Consider the following 21,375-nt stretch of genomic DNA (forward strand, 5'->3'; position numbering starts at 1 on the left):
TCAACAGTTGGGATTACAATTCAAGGTGAGATTTAGGTGGACACAGCCAAACCATGTAACTGCATAGCAAAATCTCTGTCGTTTAAATATAAATCTTAATGACTTTGCTGTTTTTTAAAAAATTAAAGTATACAAAGCAAATGTGTAACAAAAAAGAAAAAAACAACAACAATGACCTAAAAAGACAGGAAGAAATAATACATATAAAAGGAAAAATAATAAGAAAAGAAACCACTCCTAGGAGACTTGTGCCATGGATACTATGGCCCCTCACCCAGTCCCCCTTCAGGTTCAAGGCTGTTGCTGGGAGTAATTATTGGCTGTTGATGGCTCACAGCTGAATCCATTTTCTGGAATTGACCTTGGTTAAAGGAAGTTGCCTCAATACATTTATGTCTCTTCTTCAAGGGTAGCCCACAATCCAATGACTGAATTCAATGCAGCGATTCAAAGACCCAGCCCTGGTGCCTTGGATTGGTACATCTCTGAATGCTCTTTCAGCCTCAATGCTCCCCCTGGAGCCAGCTGAGGCTACTGATGCAGCTGCATTTCAGTTTGGCTTTTTCCTCTGCTCAGTACTATTTTCTCCCTGGCTTCCTCAAAGGAGTTGTTTCTGAGAGCACTCTTCAATAAACTGTACATGCAAATCTCAGAGTCTCCGGGCATCTGACCTGCAGCAGCTAGTGCTGGAAGTGATCCTAGGAAAGTGGCTTTAAAATGAGACCGCAGGCACAGCCAGATCACCCACTGGCAGGCAGGTACTGAAGACCCATCACTGGGGATAGATGGAGCATGGATACCTCTGGCATGAGACAGTGGTGCAAGTATTAAAACATTCCCGGTGTGAGCTGGCGTTGGATACCAGTAAAAGGGAATGCACTGGCAGGTGCAGTATCAGGATTTTGAGAGCTAGAGAAAGTGGTAATTACAAGGATTAGGGAATTGGCTGCTGCTGACAACAGTGGATGCCCTAGAGGAAGACAACAAAAGGCTGAGGTTAATTAATCACCAATTAAAGGCAAGCAGCAAAGTCAGACAGCCTCTTCCACACCATATAAAGAGATTCTCATCTTCTATGAGCCAACACCAAAAGAGGCTAAGAATCAAGCCCGAGCCTCAACAATAAGAGTAACAGAGCTTCGGAAGAGGTTGAATGAGGAGAGGGCCTTGTTGGGAAGAAGTTGACCTTAAGGCATGGCATGGTGGCATCCTGAATTCCCACATTCTCCCAGACTCTGGGCCTATAGAAGTGGCCCACTTCATCCTGTTAAAGACCAGCACTGCTCGCTCACTTGAAGATGATGCAGTCATCTGCCTTGCAAGGCCACAGGCATTCCTTTCAGATCCACTTCTACCTCCTGTTTGAGCCATCAGATAAATGAGTAGGGTTGAGTCATAACATGAGCCAGCCTGCTGAAAGAGGGAAGAGTTGATGCTCTCAAAAGGAGATGTAGGACTGAGCTGACATATACCATCACAAACCAAGACAGGATATTTGGTGTTGGATCAAAGTGAGTAGAAGATAAGGCTGGATAAAGGAGGGTCAATCAAGACAGAGCATTGTCCTGTGAAACAGGATTTAACCCTGACAAGCAACCTAGGAGTTGGTGACAACACACTACAAGATCTTAGAAGCTTGTAGAAAACATGGCCACATTATGTGAGAGAAAGTGCTGGAACTTCCATGGCAGACAGGAAAATAAAGGATCAAAAGGTTAGGAAAATGTTCTAGAGTGAATATACCCTGTTGAGTGCCAGAAAACCCACTCACCAATGACAGACTGTGGGAGGGGCCAGAGGACACTGTTTAATAAAGCAATAAAGTCATCGGGATGAGGGGCACCAGCATCTCTGTGAAGGTCAGTGTGGCTGTCCCCTGTGGCCTTGGGCTGATATTGGTGATACTAGTACAGAACTGGGCTCCCTGATAACAATGGGGATGATAGTGTCCTGCAGTGATAAGGGCAGATTGTGGGCTATTATTCTAATGGCTGGCAAGTTTGGATTGAAAGAGGGAGAGGTGTCTGACTCACAGAGATGTGAAGCTGGTTAATGGAACATAGCATCTGTAGGGACATCTTGGATGAGCAGCCAATAAGCATATTACTCAAATTATACAATCAGGATAAATCGAGGCCAAGAGGGGTGGCTCGCACCTGTAATCCCAACACTTTGGGAGGCCGAGGCAGGAGGATTGTTTCAAGATCAGCCCAGGAAATGTAGTAAGACCCCCCGCATCCCTATAGAAAATTTAAAAATTATCCAGGCATGGTGGCATGCATCTGTACTCCAAGCTACTTGGGAGGCTGAGGTAGGAAGATCACTTGAGCCCAGGAGTTTGAGACTGCCACGAGCCATGACGATGCACGCCACTGAACTTCAGCCTGGCAAAGAAAAGAAAAGAAAAGAAATCAACCACGGATCTTCAGGAGATTGAGACCAATCAACCCAATAAAAATGACCATATTCTGCCTCATTTCTGGATCCGAGCCACTACTCCGGCTAGGAACTCGTTAACTGAAGGATAGACCAGGTCCCAGGAAGAATTCTATCACCCACAGCAAGTACATATGATAGATTCCCCCAGTCCTTTTTCCAAAGGGACATATAGCCATTTGTGTGGGTGAACTGGGGGAATAGGAATTCCTGACTTTTCAAGGGTTTGAATTCACATTGATACTAAAGGATCCAAAGCGTCATCACATCCCCATTTGCCATAGTTAGAGTGGGCACATTCCACAAGCCAGGTAATAAATGCAGTCCTGGGTTCAACACCAGCTTGGGCAACGTAGGGAGTCCTCGACTCTACAAAAAATTTAAAAAATAGCTGGGCATGGTGGCACACACCTGTGGTCTCAGCTACTTAGGAGGCTGAGGTGGGAAGATCGCTTGACCTCAGGAGGTTAAGGCTGCAGTGAATTATGATCGTGCCACTGCTCTCCAGCCTGGGCGACAAAGCAAGACCCGATCTCAAACCAAATAATAAAAAATTTGAAAAATTTTAAAAACCAAGACATATGATAAAAAATGGTTGTTGTTTTTACTCACTGAGTTTTATAGTGGTTTATTATGCAACAACAGATAATAAGACAGAACTTGGTATTTGGAAATGGTGTCTGCCTTAAGAAAAACTTGCAGCCTTACCTTGGGACCAGGTGGTAAGCAGGAGATGGAAGTCCTTAAAGAGCCCATTACTGAAGGCTTAAAAGACAGTAACGAAATAGCTATTGGAGTCTGAAGGAAAGGGGACATATTATAATTTATTAACAGGAGGTACAAACCCCACGAAGACAGTGGTGAAACTGTCATCTGCAGGAACGCGGAAAACAGAAAACGTACATAAGGAACTGATAGTTCTGGCTGAGGATATTTATAGGCACACTGTTGAAAGTACTAATTGTTTTTATTTTGCTTTGTTTTGTTTTTAGCTGCCTATGAAAAGTACATGAGGAGTAGAATAGAAAAACAAGAGAAATGTACAGTTTTAAAGCAAAATTTAGGGGAAATATAAAGGAATCAGGATTTGGTTTGGTACCCCTTTGTGGGATGACCCTCTATTGAAATTTGTGTGACGTTTTCATTGTGAATAGAGTGGGAATATAAATTTTTGGAAGGAAGACCACAGAGGTGAAGAGCTACATCCTGTCAAGGGTACATACCATCAACATGACTTATCACTGTTGATGTTGATCTTGATCACCTGGCTGAGGTAGTACTTGTCAGATTTCTTCACTTAAAGTTACTCTTTTCTCCTTTCCATACTGAACTCTTTGGAAGGAAGTCACTTAAGGAGTCAGGAGTTGTGCTTCTCTTCCTTGAGGGCTCACTTTTACTTTTCTTTTCTTTCTTTCTTTTTTTTTTTTTTTTTTTTTTAATCGTAGAGACAGGGTCTATGTTGCCCAGGCCAGTCTTGAACTCCTGGCGTCAACTGATCCTCCCGCCTTGGCCTCCCAAAGTGCTGGAACTACAGGTGTGAGCCACTGGGCCTGGCCTTCAACTTTCTTTTTAATTAAATGTGCTTAAATCTGTTTCTGGGTTCTGAATTGTTTCCATTGGTCTGCTTATCTATCCTTGCTTCAATATCACACTGTGTTATATAAGGGGGAAAATCCCCTCAAAATAATTCATATTTTCATTTTTAATTGTGATAAAATATACATACAACAAAATGTACATCTTAGCCATTTTTAAGTGTAGAGTTCAGTAGAATTAGTACATTCATGCTGTTGTACAACCAGTCTCTGGAACTCTTTTGATAATACAAAACTGAAACCTTACACTCATTTAAAAACAACTCTCTATTTCTCCCTTCCCCCAGCCACTGGCAACCACCATTCTACTTTCTATCTCTACGAATTTAACTATTCTGTGTACCTGATACAAGCAGAATTATACAAGTCATACAAATCATCAATTTGTCTTTTGTGAGTGATATATTTCACGTAAGCATAACATCTTCAAGATTCCTCCATGTTGTAGCATTGTCAGAATTTCCCTCCTATTAAGGCTGAATAATGTTCCATTGTGTGTGTGTGTGTGTTTATCACATTTTGTTTATTCATTCATCATTTACCAAGTTTCTGTGGACACCTGGGTTGCTTCTACCTTGTGGGTATTGTGAATAATGCTGCTATGAACATGAGTGTACAAATATCTTTTCAAGATTCTGTCTTCAATTCCTTTGGGTGTATGCTCAAAAGTGGAATTACTGAATCATGTGATAATTCTATTTTTAATTTTTTGAGGAATCGCCTGCTGCTTTCCCATGGTAGCCGTATGATTTTAAGTTCCCATCAACAGTGCACAAAGGTTCCAATTTCCCCATATCCTCACCAGCACTTGTTATTTTATGTTTTTTTGGATAACAACCATACTAATGTGTGTGAGGTGGTATCTCACTGTGGTTTTGATTTGCATTTCCCTAGCGCTAATGATGTTGAACATTTTTCATGTGCTTATTGGCCATTTGTACATCTTCTTATGGAAATGTCAACTCCAGCCCTTTGGCCACTTTTTAATTGGGCTGTTTAGTTTTTTATGGTTGTTGAATTGTAGGAGCTCCTTCCGTATTCTAGATATTACATCTTTATCAGATACATAGTTTGTGAATATTTTCTCTCATCTTGGGAATTACCTTTCCACTCTTTTAATAGTATCCTTTGATGCACAGAAGTTTTAAATTTTGATGTAGTCTATTATCTATGTTTTCTTTTATTGCTTGTGTTTCTAGTGTCATATCTACTCAAACAAATACATAAATCATTGTCAAATCCAATGCCATGAAGCTTCCCCCTATATTTTAAGAGTTTTATAGTTGTAGGTCTCATATTGAGGTCTGTAATACATTTTGAGTTAATTTTTGCATATGGCGTAAAACAATGATCCAACTTCATTCTTTTGTATGTGGATGTTCAGTTTTCCTACAACATTTGCTGAAAAGAATATCCTTTCCCTATTGAATAATCCCAGCACTTTTGTTAAAAGTCATTTTGTTGTAAATATAGGGATTTATTTCTGGGCTCTCTAGTCTTCCTCAGTACAATTTGTGATGGTTCATCTTATGTATCAACTCAACTGAACCACAGGGTGCCCAGGTATTTGGTAAAACAGTATTCCTGGGTGTGTCTGTGAGGGTGTTTCTGGATGAGTTTACCATGTGAACTGGTAGATTGAGTAAACAGATTGCCCTCCCCAGTGTGGGCAGGCCTTGTCCAGTCAGCTCAGATTCAAACTGGAACTAAACTATTGGCTCTCCTGGGTCTTCAGTTTGCCAACTGTAGCTCTTGGACTTCTCAGCCTTTCTAATCACTTGAGCCAATTCCTTAAAGGAAATATATACGGTTCCTGTTTCTTTGGGGAACGCAAACAAATACATAAACTTTAAGATAGAAAAACAGCATTCAAAATTGCATATAGAGTATGAGTTCAGGTATTTTTATATTAGAAAAAAAGTTAACAAATTAAAGTAATATATATTTGTTGTAGATAACTTGGGAGGTAAAGTGTAAAAAAGAAAAAAATCAGATCCTCTCATTTTGATGTATTTCACTCACTATCAAGAAATATTTATAGACCACCCATGTAAGTAATTCAGTCTTATTACAAAATAGGATTATACTTTTTGGACAGTTTTGTATCCAGCGTTTTGTGCCTAATGCCATATTGTAACATTGCCCAAAGGCATTATTTCTGAAGAACACTATATAAATGTCTGTATAAATGCTTTTTATAAATTCTAATGTCTAATGTCTAAACCACAGTTTATTTCACTATTTCCATTAGTGTTTGATATTATCTCTTGTTTATAGTTTCTCACTATTTTAAGTAATGTTGCAATAAATATAATTGTACTGAAATTTTTATATTTATTATTATAACCTTAGGCATTTGCCACTTTAATGATAACAACGAATAATTTTGTTTGAACAAAGAAAGTACACCTTTTCTTGAGATTCTTGTACACTGATCCCTTCTTGAATGCCTTTCCTCAGCAGTATTCCTGGACTTTCCACAACTTTAAATATAGCTTTTTTCATATAGCTCTAGATTTTCCTCTTTTTTTTTATAGTTTCAAAATGACAGGACATTGTTTTCCTCCAATAGAGAACTCCAGATTAAAATTCTTAAGATTTTTGGTTATATTGTTTGAGAAATTATTGAGTTCTCTTCTCCTACAGCAACTTTGATGATCAAGTGTCATCTTGGTTTTAAAATGTACGCTTTATTTCCGAAAATAAAATTGAGTTAACTTAAATGCCATAATCATTTCTAAAAGGTTGTTTTTGTTTTGTATCTTTGATGGAAAGGGGTAAGAGTACTTTTTATTTGCTTATAGGCAAAATTAAACCCTTCAAGTAAATAGCAAATTTCTCATATTTCCTGCCTTGATACCACACATTTTTTTCTTACCAAGTCTATCATAGATGGCTAGGTCATAAGTGAGTAGGCATGGAAAATTGATTTCTAATTTCTATTATTTTTTCTAATCTTCATCTGTAAGTATTCCTCTGATAGGGTGTTAAGGACTGAATGTTTCTGTCCCCACCAAAACATATATTCTGAAGCCCTAATTCCCTATGTGATAGAAGCTGGAGATGGGGCTTTGGAGAAGTAATTAGTGTTACATGAGGTGATGAGGCTGTGGCTCTCATGATTGGATTAGTGTCCTTATGAGTAGAATATCAGAGAGCTAGACATTCCTTTCCCAGGTGCATGTGCAAAAAAGGGGTCACGTAAGCACACAGCAAGATGGCAGCTTTCCGCAGTCGAAGAGAAGAGTCAGCAGAATAAAACCTACCTTGCTGGCACCTTGATCTCGGACTTTTCATCCTTTAAACTGTGAGAAATAAATTTTGTCTGTTGTTTAACCCACCTGGTCTGTGGTGTTTTTTTATTGTAGGCTGAGCAGAGCAGACTAAGACACAGGATTTAGTCTTAAATTTATTTTTCAATACTGATCGACGACAAGTTAAAAATTCACATTTTAGGGATCAGGTGTTGGATCCATGTAATCACCAGAATGCATTTCTCTTTAAGAGTCCAGACTTCTGGCTTAACAAGATTGAAGATGGAAATGATTTTGGGGTAGCAATCCAGGATAAGGTGTTGGAGAGGGTGAATGCCATCAAGACCAAAGTGGAAGCTTTCCAGACAACCATTTCCAAGTATTTCTCAGAACGTGGGGATGCAGTGGCCAAGGCCTCCAAGGAGACTCATGTAATGGATTACCGGGTCTTGGTGCATGAGCGAGATGAGGCAGCCTATGCGGAGCTCAGGGCCATGGTGCTGGACCTGAGGGCCTTCTATGCTGAGCTTTATCATATCATCAGCAGCAACTTGGAGAAAACTGTCCACCCAAAGGGTGAAGAGAAGCCATCTATGTACTGAACCCAGGACTAGAAGGAAAATAAATGATCTATATGTTGTGTGGATAAAAAAAAAAAAAAGAAAAAAAATCACATTTTAACCTAATAATCTGTATGTTTACAGTTTAAAACTTATATTTTGGTAACTGGTAAAAAAACATAAAGGGGGGTTCTGGGATGTTGATAATTGTTTACAAAGATGTGTTAACTTTGTAAAAATGTATTCAGTTGTACTCAATAATTCGTGTACATTTCTGTATTTATGCTTAATCGAAAAGTTCCCTTTTCAATCATATTTCAAACAATTAAAATATTAAGATTTTTCTTAAAAATGTAGGCTTTAAAAATAACTTAAGATTTAAGTATTTGGTGTGATCTATAGACATAGTTTATTCTCACCCTATTCCTGTAAGCTCAACACTTAGTTTCAACATTAAAAACATAAAATACACTGACATTACCAAAAGGGATTAACCCCAAGGACTTAAAATGAAATAATACAGTTGATAAAATTAACATTCTTACTTAATTAAAATGTTTCAAGTTCTTTAACTATTTTCTAGTTAAATGTATTATAGCTTATTCTACCCTCAATTCATTGCTGTTTTCAGTTGTAGCTATAAATTGAAGAACATTTTAGGCCCTGTGTCCATCAAAATTCAGAGAAATAAAAGTTCATATTTGCATTATTCATTATCATGTATTATGCATGCAGAAACAGAGCAGTTAGGTTTCTTCAGGCTTTTTTTCCTAAACTTTGCATTGCATGACATCAGACACAAGTGTTAGAAACGAAAGCAGAGACACGTTAAACCATGTGGCTTCCTCCTAGCCTCCATTATTTTCTAAAGAAACACTTGCATTATAAAAATACTTTAAATGAATGACTTCTATGACTTTTGTGACAGATCTTTAATTTTTATCTATTATCTGTTTTGTCCTTTTCTGAATTAGATGAATAGTACATTCTCTAATGAGTTTTTATTTTTAAATCATAGCAATTGGTTCACCTTTTATTATGTTACTTCAGTGAATTTCCCTCTGATTGTGTATACGCAGTTTAAGTATACAACTCTATTAGCAACATTAGGAACATATTTACATACTCAAATATACAACATAGCCTTTTAAATGCTATTCAGCCTTTAATTAAAGCTTTAAATGATCTTGACATATATCTAGGTTTGGCTGGTATTACAGAGCCCAGAAATTAAGGACAAAAAGATGCTCCTCAGAAATAGCATTTATTGCAACATCAACAACCATGACACGTTGAAATTTTATAAGGCCAATGCATCCATAAATATTTGTGCAATTCTTCCAAATTGTTGCCCACCTACCTTTTTTTTTTTCTTGAGACAGGGTCTCACTCTGTCACCCACGCTGGAGTGCAATGAAGTGATCACCATGCTGGGTTAATTTTTTATTTTGTGTAGAGATGCTGTCTCATTCTGTCGCCCAGGCTGGTCTCCAACTCCTGGGCTCAAGTAATCCTCCTGCCTTGGCCTCCTAAAGTGCTGAGACTACCGGTGTCAGCCACCCACACTGGGACCCACCTATCTTACCTGCCTGCAAGAGCCAAGGAAATGGCCTAAGCACTTGTCCACATAATCACAGCAACTGCTTCTGCTTACATTAGAGGGGAGTTTTGCACTCAGTGTGACACCTCCATTCCCATTTAATTCTCCTCCATTTTCTGGTCTCTAAATCATATTAATACCCAAAATAGGGTGAAATAGAATGTATTTAGAAATTTAAGATCAAATTTTAAACTGCCACCTAGGCCCCTGGTCAAGTACAAATTCTGGTACTATCTCACAAAAGTGTCCTGAAACAGGGGTCTACGTGGATGTGCCAATTCCCAAACATCAGCTTGGGGTCAAAGAATCCTTAGTCTCTAGACTCCATGGCCTGAATCTATCCTGAATCTGTCTCCTTCCAGATTTTGCCTGCCTCTCTCTCTCATCTTGCCTTCTGTACCTAAATGCTAACAAATTGTTTCCCTAAGACAGATTCCCCAGGAATACTTCCTATGCACACACAGCTTTCATTTGAATAAAATTGAGCAGCCCAATGAATGCATAATTTAACAATGCCCTTTAGCACGCCACAAATGTTGTGTTGGTTTTTATTTTACCCCCTTTACAAGATTTGGAGCAAAATATTAACGAAACTTCATAAAAACCAATTCAAGTATCTTTTGGTTTCAAATTAACTAATTAGGTAGCTGTATTTTAGAGGAAGGAACTTCCAAGAAGGCAGTACATCAGGGAGGAGCTTGGGCTTGGGCCTGACTACCCAGGTTCCAAACTCACTGTGACTTCCGGCAAATTACTCAGCTATTTACTCAGTCGCACTGTGCCTCAGTTGCCTCATCTGTACAATGGCAATAATAGGACCTGGAAGACTTATGAAGATTACATACCTTTCTCCACGAAAGCACTCAATAAAATAAGCCTTTATTAATATGTCAACTGAGCTGAAACATAACGAATATAAAACAATATATCCACAGGAATAAGATGTATTAGTTCTTACACTTTTCTTCAAAACTGTCTTTCAATTTTCTGTAGTCCAAGCCAAAACAATAATTATTATGATGAAACTATGATTATTTCTCAAAGTAATAAAATAGAAGGAAACTATTTTGAGAGGGCTTTGCATTTGGGGAAATAAAAGGTAGGGGACGTTGAAAGTAGAAAGTTGAAGCAAAGTATGGTAGCAGCTTCACATTCAATCTTTCTCATCATTCTTTTTTTTCAGGTTTAACAGTCATACTATTGTAAAAGAGGTTTTCTCCTTTTCCGCCTTGATGGGAAGTGTTGCAGGCTTATTCTATTCTCTACTAAATTCAAGCGTTTTAGTAGAAAAAGTAAAATATAATATATATTCTTACAATATTGTCCACACGAAAGATTTACTACACAAAAATTATTTCTGAAGGCATTAATACCAGGAACAATTAATGTTTAAGTCGCAAACGGAGATGTTTACGCTGACAGGGAACAGACAAAAGGGCGGCCATGCTTCAACAAAATGTAGGAGTTTTCAGTTTGCAGCTTGAACTTGACACTGTTGAAATACATGCATTTCGGTGGCCCCGTTACATTTCACGCGTCACGAAGCCGAGCAAGACCAGCCCGGGCCGCCTTCCCCGTGTACGCGCGGGCCTCCGGGGACGCGCAGAGCTGGAGCGGCGGGCGCGCGCGGCAAACGGGCCCGCGCGGCCTCTGCGCGTCCCCGCTCCAGCACCCTGGCGAGGCCTAGACCGCCGTGAAGACCCCGGGGAAGGAGTGGCCGCGCTCACCTGCAGCCGGGAGAGGACAGCGGGGGAGAGGAGGCCGCTCTGCACCGGCCGAAAGCGAAGGGCTCGCCGGCTGGCCGCGTAGTGTAAGGGTCGGTGGTTTCTTTGCTTGGTCCCTGGAAATCCACCCCTTCTTATCCCGGAGGCCTGAACTCGATTTCTGCAAAACTTCCCGCGACCAGCTCATAAAAGGAGAGCGCGTCCCTGGGTGGGCTCGAACCACCAACCTTTCGGTTAACAGCCGAACGCGCTAACCGATTGCGCCACAGAGACTTCGGTGTCATTTTCCCCTTCTGCCTCAGCCTTTATGAAGAATAATAAAGGCAGTGTGTGGCTGTTTCTGCTTTCTGATTGGTACTATCAGAACCAAAATATTTTACTTCACGTTTCCAACCCTCTTAATTCTATTTTCCACCTTTTAAGCATATCGCAAAATTATACAACAAAATCAAGCAGCATTGCAGATTGCAAAATGTATTAAAATACTGTTGCTCCCCCCCGCCAACTCCCATTTGGAACGTTGTATTTCAGGAAAATAACTATTTCTTATTAGTTTTCTTTTATGAGAAAATCAAAGCTTTCATCTTGTGAGCTGAGAAACTTTCCCTTTGTTTCGAACAATTTGCCCAGTGCTTCGTTCGCTCATCTCTCGTGATTTACTTGTGTAGTATTCCCAAGGTCATCTGAATTTTATTTGGCTGCTTTATTTTTATATTCAGGTATTACTAAATGCATAGATGAAATCCCTATTTGTTTTGTACTAAATACAGTACAATGATTTCACACTAACATTTTGTTACTGGAAAGAAACATCAGGGAAAAAAAGCTACAGGAACATTTCTTAGTTCCAGTGCGTTGTAGTTTATTGCTAAATCTGCCCTCGTCCCTGGAATTAGCCTACACACCCACATCGAAGCATAGCACTTAAAACACACATCTCGAGGGATAAATAAAACCCAATTTGAGGAAAGAGAAGTTAAAGAAGAAAAAGGAATGATTTATACTAACTCCTGCAAATTTTTAGCACAGAAACACTGCAGGTAAACATGCTCCATTCCTATAAATACTTCAATGAAAATCGTTCCCTTTGTGTGAATGTTTCCTGGTGCCTTTTAAGGTACACTTCTAAGTTCCAAACGCTCTTTTTCTCCCTTCTTCTCTCCTCAAATAATTGCGAGTTTCCACTTGAGAACGTGAACGTGTTTAAATTTTTAACAGTCACTAAACCGCTCTGTACAGAATCCCTCCAAAAACAATCGCTATCATGATTTATAGACGTTGTAAGCGACGCGTCTTGGTCCAATCAGCATTTTGAGTTCCCGTTGCATGGTAAGACAACTTAAATTGGCTTTGGAACCAATTAGAAGCCGAGTTCCCTGAAAGCGTTGAGATGTTAAACAGCTGTGAATTCACGCCAAGCTGCACCACGCCACTTTCAACAAACTTTTGGAAGTGCACTTGAAATTTTTGAATTTGAAAAAACAATCTAGGAAATGCTTCTACAGAGTGTATGAGAAGTCTCATTTCATTAGACGATGCTGCTTTGTACTTGGTAATATTATATGTACCTGTTAATGGGAGCTAAAACTATCAGGTACTGGCTTTTCTTCTCCAAATACCAAACTGAGTGTCCTTTCCTCTGTTGTTTTTGTGACTATCCAGTTAGAACAGACTGCAACGGGTGTACTTCACTGCCCCATCATTCAATGTTTACTCTTCTGTTTAAAGTAATATTAGGAACGGTTCTACTCATGTAAATCTCTTCAGCTCCAATATCTTTTCCTCACTTCAGTCATCATACTAGCATTTGACTTCTAACAAGAGAGATAATGAGAAACAGTCGATGAGAAAAACTAACTCAGAAAGGAATATTAACTCATTCTAGGCTAAAAAATTGTCTATGTAAGTACCACTATTGGTTTTAAAACTGTCTTCAAGCCTGGTTCTGTAGTTTTTAACATTTTACATAAAATGGCTGTTTCCACGGTTACTTAGCTCTGCCTTGTTTTCCCTCTCCACTTGAAACTACTTCAAAGGAGCATATAAATGTTTAAAATATTGAATGGACTCTGAACATTTTATTCCAATGGTATATATCAAGCACATCTTTTATGCAGAATGATCACTAACAAAAATAAGGGAGAAGAATGCATTGTCATCTAAATCTTTGTGATTATCTCATCTTAGGCCATAATATTTATGTTCAGTTTTTAAAGCCAAACTAAGCCCACTGGATTAATTTTAGAAACATACATTATCTTTTCTTAATTTTAAGATAACCCAAGATAAATGAGTCCTATAGCTTCATTAGCACTTGGGTCTTTATAACTGCTAAAAGTAAAATGAACTGGGCATTTTGCCCCCTTTTTTGTGTATTATACACAACTGAACTGCAAATTTACTTTTCCTAAGAATATGCCCTATCAATGGGGCTCATCTGTGCAGATTAATGGGCATATATATTTTATTTTCTTCTTGGAGAGGAAGAGAGAAAAGCAAGAAGATCTGTGCAAATAGGATTCACCTGTCTTAACAGGCAAGCCACAATGGACCACACTGATCTAACACCTTCCAGATACCATGAATCCAAGGCTTTCAGATAATATTCTTCCAGCTTCATCCCAACAGCATAGGCAACTCACAGGGTTGCCATTAGCAGGATTGTGCATGACCTGAATTCTTCTTCATTTCTGTATTTCAGAAGTATGGTGACGGAGTCGTTAAAAACGAAAAATCCAGTTAAAAAAAATTTTTTTTAATAGCCGGGTATGGTGGCTCACACCTGTAATCCCAGCACTTTGGGAGGCTGAGGCGGGCAGGTCACCTGAGGTCTGGAGTTCAAGACCAGCTGGCCAACATGGTGAAACTCCGTCTTTACTAAAAATACAAAATTAGCCAGGCGTGGTGGCAGGCACCTATAATCCCAGCTACTCGAGAGGCTGAGGCAGAAGAATCGCTTGAACCCGGAAGGTAGAGGTTGCAGTGAGCCAAGATCACGCCATTGCACTCCAGCCGGGGTGACAAGAGCAAAAACTCCGTCTCAAAACAAAGAAAAACAAAGTTTGGAATTGTTTTTTAAATCAAGTGAGTTACAGAAGTCATCCCAATAAGTGGAAGGTGGTGGCACCAGGAAATAAGTTAAAAGACAACACTACACAGATGTCTCTAAGAGCAAGAGGAGAATTATGAAACCAATTCTCAAAACAAATGCTAATCATATTTTACAACTGATTTATGAGTAAAAGTAAATCGAACCCTTCCAACCAGCCTCAAGCTTAAAACCACGTTTCCTACTCACCAAAAGTATCCTTCTCATATAAAACTGGAGGACTAAGGTCAGTTATGTTTAACAAGCCAAAAGGAGCATCACAGAAGCTAGCATTCGACTGGGCATGGTGGCTCACAACTAGTAATCCTAGCACTTTGAGAGGCTGAGGCGGGAGGATAGCTTGACACCAGGACTTGAAGACCTGCTGGGGCAACATAGGAAGACCCCATCTTTACAAAAAATCCAAAAATTAGCTAGGTGTGGTGGTGTGTGCCTGTAGTCCCAGCTACCTGAGAAGTCGAGGCAGGAGGATCACTTGAGGCCGGGGAGGTTGAGGTTGCAGCTGCAGTCAGCTGTGATTATGCCACTGCACTTCAGCCTGGGTGACAGAGCAATACCTTATCTCAAAAAAAAAAAAAAAAAAAAAAAAAAAAAGGCAATCAGCATTAAGGTATATTAGTATATTTCTTTTTTATTATTTTTTAAAGTTGTATCACTTAGTTGGAAAATCTTGTGAAATTATTCAGATAATTATCTCTAAAAAGACATGGTTTAAGAGAAAAGCTAAAGGGGGGCAAAATAATGCATCAATAATCTGCCTGGTGGGTTCAAACAAAAATTATATATATATTTTTTACTTTGTGAACCTCTCTTTTGTATATGAAAATACTTTCAAACCATTTTTATAGCTTTAATAATGCAGAGCTAAAATTTTAATCACTGCAGATCTCTTTAGTAGAAGAGTGTTATTTGCAAACAGTATCAATGATTTCACCTGGGTCCAGACCAATACAATCTTGGATCTAGCTAGAAATGGTTGCGGGGTGGAGGGGTAAGAAGGAGAACTTTAACTTTCTTCAGTATACTGGGGAAACTTCTGCTGAAAGACCTTATGGTTATCTCAGTAAATTGGCTAAGTTGTATCTCATTTTCCATCTCCTGACTACAACGCTATTAGCATGGGAGCCACAGTCTTCAATTTTCCATGATGTGTTCACAGAAACAACTTGAGGCAACAGTTATTTGCTATTCAATCTCTACAGTAAAAATGCTGATAAATTGGCAGTCCCGCCTATCTTTCTGAACTCAGCTATTAAAAATCAACATTAAAAATTTTAGAATAGACACAAATATCCTCTTGCCATTTGCTTCGAAATAAGAAAGTAAGCAGGTGCCCAAGGAAGACTTGACTCCTCAGCTGTGACTGCCAGAGGTTGTGGGTAGGGAATAGGCCGGTCAAACAATCCACTGAGGAACCCAGAGACACAGGGGAGAATAAAACAGTGTGGAATGAATTCAACAAGGTAGGCAGATGGAGGAGGAAGAGCACTAAATATTGCATGATTCAGGGAAGTGCTCATTTATTTCCTCCTCTATAAAATTAAGAATATTTGCCCTACCTAATTAATAAGCCTATAAAAAAATAACGTGTGATTTATGTTTTTTCACCTCTAAAATGTTAGACAAATATGCCATTTAAAATTTTTAAACTCAGGCCAGACGTGGTGACTCACACTTATAATCCAGGGTTTGGGGAGGCCGAGGTGGGAGGATTGCTTGAGGCCAGGGGTTCAGGACCAACCTCGACAACATAGCAAGACCCCGTCTCTACAAAATAATAATAATAATAATAATAAAATTAGCTGGGTTTGGTGGCACGTGCCTGTTGTCTTAGCTACTTGGGGAGCTGAGGCAAGACGCTGGCTTGAGCCCAGGAGTTTGAGGTTACAGTGAGGTATGACCATACCACTGCACTCTAGCTTGGGCAACAGAACAAGCCCCTGTCTCTAAAACAAACAAAGTTAAAGATGAACAGTTCTGTTTAAAATAAATGAAAGGAAAAAAAATCCTACTTCAATCAGAGGGTATGATTTCGATTAAGGTAAAGAATCTAAGCCTCTTGCATTAAGGTAAAGATGAGTTATTCAGGAAAAGCCACCAGACAGCATCACACACTTCCTGGTGGTCTCCAGGTGTTCCCAGCAGTGGCATACAGGGCATAATATAAGGATGAAACCAGCCTGGGCAACATGGCGAAACCCCTTCTCTACCAAAAATACAAAAAGTTAGCCGGGTGTGGTGGTGCATGCTTGTAGTCCCAGCTACTCCAGAGGCTGAGGTGGGAGGATCCCTTGAGCCCAGGGAGACGGAGGTTGCAGTGAGACAAGATTGTGCCACTGCACTCCAGCCTAGGTGACAGAGTCAGACCTCATCTCAGAAAGAAAAAAAAAAAAAAGATGAAAACACTGCTCTCCATTTCCACAATTCCAGTAAAATTTCAGGTATGGGGGGTACAGACCAAATGCCCCAGAAATGGCTCCCTCCTTGCTACCTTGAATTAAAGGCAACTAACTCATGAAGACAGTTGTTCCTAGTAAAAAGTTGGTACTCAGCGCACTGTTCATTCAACAAATAGTTGTTGCATCATTATAATTTTGAAAACATATAAACATTATCTTTGGGATTTATAGGTATGGGTGCTGATCTAGATTTTAAGCAAACTTGATATAAAACCCATATTTGAAAAAAAAAGTTTTTGTAGAATTACGGAATGATTCACCTTAGAATAGTGTAAATAGCAAGTGCTCTCGTGTATTTACAGTATGATTCCACCAAAAGGATGATTTTAAAATATGAAATCACAGGAATCAAGTACTCGCCCAGTGCCTGGAATTTATGGGGTATAGAAAAAGTTGGTTTATTTTCCCTGTGGCTCTTTCAGGTCATTATTCCTCATCTAGCAGCCCAAGTTTCCTCTTCTTTTATTTCTTATCTGTGGTCAGTTGCATGGATTTGACTTTTGCAATGTCTCTCAACTTTAGCTTTGTCCTCTCCTTCTCACCCCCATTCACACCACTCAATATTAATCCAATACATTCCACGTACCTGCTTCCCTGCCATAACCTAAACTCCAACAAATGTGTACCAAAAATTATACAGCATAATAGATAGCATATATAATGCACATTTACTGTTAGACCCTGTGCTAAATACAACACAGGCATCATTTTTCTCTCACCTACTCTGTAAGACAGGTACTATGTTATGTCTGTGGATAAGGAAATGATGGCTTACAATGGTTTAAATTTTAACTTTAAATCTGTTTAAACTTCAAATAAGTATCCCAAAGTACCACTTGCTCTGTCTTGCTTTTTTTGTTCATCCCGCTACTTGGAACACCCGCCCATCTATCTCACCTACTAAAATCTTATTCCTCCTTTAACTTTATCCTCATCCTCTATGAAACCTTTCCTGCTCTAACCAACTAGATGTAATCTTTCCTTCTTGTAAGCCCTCTCCCACTTTTTACTTCTCCAAATCTCACATTATATTATAACCATTTCTGTGCTTAATTCCCCCTTCTAATTTGTGTATTCCTTGAGGTTAGAAACATTGTTCATCTTTAAACTTACCGTAGCACTTGACTTAGTCAATTATAAAATGTGTTGGATAACTGAAAATTGATAAGTGAAAATAAAGGAACTATGTTAAATATTTTTTATGAAAAACCATTGCAGTCAGCCGGGCATGGTGGCTCATGCCTATAATCCCAGCACTTTGGGAGGCTGAGGCGGGCTGATCACCTGAGGTCAGGAGTTCAAGACCAGCCTGGCCAACATGGCGAAACCCCGTCTCTACTAAAAATACAAAAGTTAGCCAGGTGTGATGGTGCATGCCTGTAATCCCACCTACTCGGGAGGCTGAGGCAGGAGAATCACTTGAACCTGGGAGGCGGAGGTTGCAGTGAGCCGAGATCATGCCACTGCACTCCAGCCTCGGCAACAAACCAAGACTCCGTCTCAAAAAAAAAGAAAAAAAGAAAAGAAAAGAAAAGAAAAGAAAAGAAAAGAAAAGAAAAGAAAAGAAAAGAAAGCCAGTGCACTTTACAGGTTCCTAATATGAAGCGGACCAAAAAATTGGCACAAGAGTTTATCAAGGGAGACTTTAAGGAATCCCAAGTTGGTCAAAGAAAAGACTAATAAAAATCCAAATCAGTTATTTGTTTAAAAAAAAAACTTTTTAAAGAAAGTTTTTGAGTTTTTAAAGTTCAAAGTACTGCTATTCCTGAAGGTGATTTTATAATAGCATCATTAAGACTAAAGTGATTTTCTAGATTTATTCATTTAACAAACACTTCGTACAACACTTTATGTTAGACACTGTTGAAAGTCATTTTCAAATATTTACTCATTTAAATTTCATAACAACCTGTGAGGTAGGTTTCAGTATTATTATCCCTCTTTTACAGGTAAGGAAATTTAGAAGTTATGTAACTTACTCATGATCACACAGCTAGTGACAGAGCAAGGAATCAAACCCAGGCATCCTTCTCTAGACTTCTCTCTAAACCACTGGGCCATACTGTTTCTATTTTTTAAAATTACAGAATAACTCTCATGTACTATATAGTTAAATATTTTTAAACAATTTGAAGCGTTAAAAATCTTCCATTCGTTTCAAATGTGTTAATTTTGACATAATTTCAGGCTTAAAAGTTGAAAGAATAGTACAAAGAATTCAACCAAATTCCCTAAATATTGTCGTTACTCTTTTGTCTTTCTTTCTCAATATGTACGACTTTTTTTTTTCTGATCTGTTCTGACCTTTTTAATGAACTGTTGGATTTGGTTAGCTAATATTTTGTTGAGGATTTTTGCATCTATGTTCATCAGGGAGATTGGCCTGTAGTTTCCTTTATTTGTGTCTGTCCTTTTCTGGTTTTGGTATCGGGTAATGCTGTTCTCACAAAATGAGTTTGGAAGAATTCCAACCTTCTCAATTTTTTGGAACAGTTTCAAAAGATTGGTATTAGTTTCTTTCTTTTTTTTTTTTTTTTTTTTTCAGGAGTTTCGCTCTGTTTCCCAGGCTGGAGTGCAACGGCATGATCTCAGCTCATTGCAACCTCCACCTCCCAGGTTCAAGCGATTCTCCTGCCTCAGCCTCTAGAGTAGCTGGGATTAAAGGCACCCACCACCATGCCCAGCTAAGTTTTTGTATTTTTAGTAGAGACAGGGTTTCACCATGTTGGTCAGGCTGGTCTAGAACTCCTGACCTCAAGTGATCCGCTGGCCTCAGCCTCCCAAAATGCTGGGATTACGGGCGTGAGCCACCGTGCCTGGCATGGTATTGGTTTCTTAAGTATTTGGTAAAATTCAGCAGTGAAGGCATCAGGTCCTGGAATTTGAGGGAGACTTTTTGATAAGAGGCTTTTTATTACTGATTCAATCTTGTTACTTGCTGGTCTAGTAATGAGACCAACCTGCTATTGGATCTTCATGATTCAATCTTGGTAGATTCAATGATTCAATCATGATTCTTCAAATGTATTCATGAAGAAATAAGAATGTTTAGATCTATTGGTCCATTCAGATTTTCTGTTTCTTCCTGATTCAGTCTTGGTAGGTTGTATGTGTCCAGGAATTTATCCATTTCTTTTTAGATCTTCCCGTTTTTGGTTTATAGTTGTTCATAAGTCTCATGATCCTTTTGTATTTCTGTGGTATCAGTTGTAATATCTCCTTTTTCATCTCGGATTTTATTTATTTGAGTCTCCTCTTTTTTTTCTTAGTCTAGATAAAGGTTTGTCGATTTGGTTTATCTTTTCAAAAAACAACTCTTTATTTCAATGATCCTTTGTATTGTGATTTTTAGTCTCTATCTTGTTTATTTCTGATCTAATCTTTGTTACCTTTTTCCTTCTACTAATTTTATGTTGAGTTTGTTCTTGTTTTTCTAATGCCTTGAAAGGCAAGGTTAGATTGTTTGAGATCTTTCAGTTTTTTTGATGAAGGTGTTTATGTTATAAATATACTCAGAACTGCTTTTGCTGTATTCTATAGGCTCTGGTATATTGTGATTCCATTTTCATTTGTCTCAAGAAATGTTTTAATTTCTTTTTTAATTTCTTCATTGACTCACTGGTTATTCAGGAGCACGTTGTTTAATTTTAATGTATTTGTAGAGTTTTCAAAGTGCTTCCTGTTATTGACTCCTAGTTTTATTTCATTGTAGTCAGAAGAGATACTTGATATAATTTCAATTCTTTGAAATTTGTTCAGACTTGTTTTATGGACAAACAAATGAACTATCCTGGAGAAAGCTCCATGTGTTGATGAAAAGAGTGTGTATTCTGCAGCTGTCGGGTGACATGTTCTACAGATGTCTGTTAGGTTCATTTGGTCTTTGGTGCAATTCAAGCCTGATGTCTCTTTGTTGATTGTTTTTGTCTGATAATCTGTCCATCACTGAAAGTTGGGTGTTGAAATCCCCTACTATTATTGTATTGCAATCTATCTCTCCCTTTAAGTCTAATAGTATTTGCTTTATATATTTGGGTGCTTTTTTCATGATCTGTTTGAAAGTAAATTGCAGACATGATATCCTCTAAATACTTCAGTGTGCTTTCTAAATTAATGTATTATTTTACATAACCACAGTACAGTGATCAAAGTAAGGACTTTTTTTTTGGTGGTGGGGATGAAGTTTTGCTTTGTCACCCAAGCTGGAGTGCAATGGCATGATCCTGGCTTACTGCAACCTCTGCCTCCCGGGCTCAAGCAATTCTCCTGTCTCAGCCTCCCAAGTAGCTGGGATTCCAGGTGTGTGCCACCATGCCTAGCTAATGTTTTTGTGTTTTTAGTAGAGATGGGGTTGGTCTTGAACTCCTGACCTCAAGTGATCCACCTGCCTTGGCCTCCCAAAGTGCTGGTATTATAGGCCTGAGCCACTGTGCCTGGCCTAAAGTTAAGATCTTGACATGGATACAGCATTATTAGAACTAGGTCCCAGTCCCAAGTACAGACCTTCAGATTTCACTAGTTTTTCCCATGAGTTCCTTTGTTAAAAAAAAAAAAAATCCAGGACCATTATTTGCATTTAGTTGTCATGTCCTTCACTTTTCTTTAATCTATAACAATTCCTGGGTCTCTCTTTCTTTC

At 38.8% G+C, this 21,375-nt stretch overlaps 1 non-coding gene and 1 pseudogene across 1 annotated transcript, besides 1 other annotated feature; one reads left to right on the top strand and one right to left on the bottom strand.

The window, feature by feature from the left end:
- Positions 7,557-7,931, top strand: PSME2P6 (proteasome activator subunit 2 pseudogene 6; annotated as a pseudogene).
- Positions 10,894-11,143: a silencer, noted in NCBI's record as "silent region_2201". NCBI's record gives its function as "represses an Ori minimal core promoter by ATAC-STARR-seq in GM12878 lymphoblastoid cells {active_cell/tissue: GM12878}" and the evidence as "EXISTENCE:reporter gene assay evidence [ECO:0000049][PMID:35858748]".
- On the bottom strand, positions 11,369-11,442 carry TRN-GTT2-3 (tRNA-Asn (anticodon GTT) 2-3). The gene has a single exon. It is a non-coding gene; the product is annotated as a tRNA-Asn (tRNA).
- Positions 11,443-21,375: the final 9,933 nt, after the last annotated feature.

Source organism: Homo sapiens, chromosome 10 (assembly GCF_000001405.40).
Source record: "Homo sapiens chromosome 10, GRCh38.p14 Primary Assembly".
NCBI classification, from domain to species: Eukaryota; Metazoa; Chordata; class Mammalia; order Primates; family Hominidae; genus Homo; species Homo sapiens.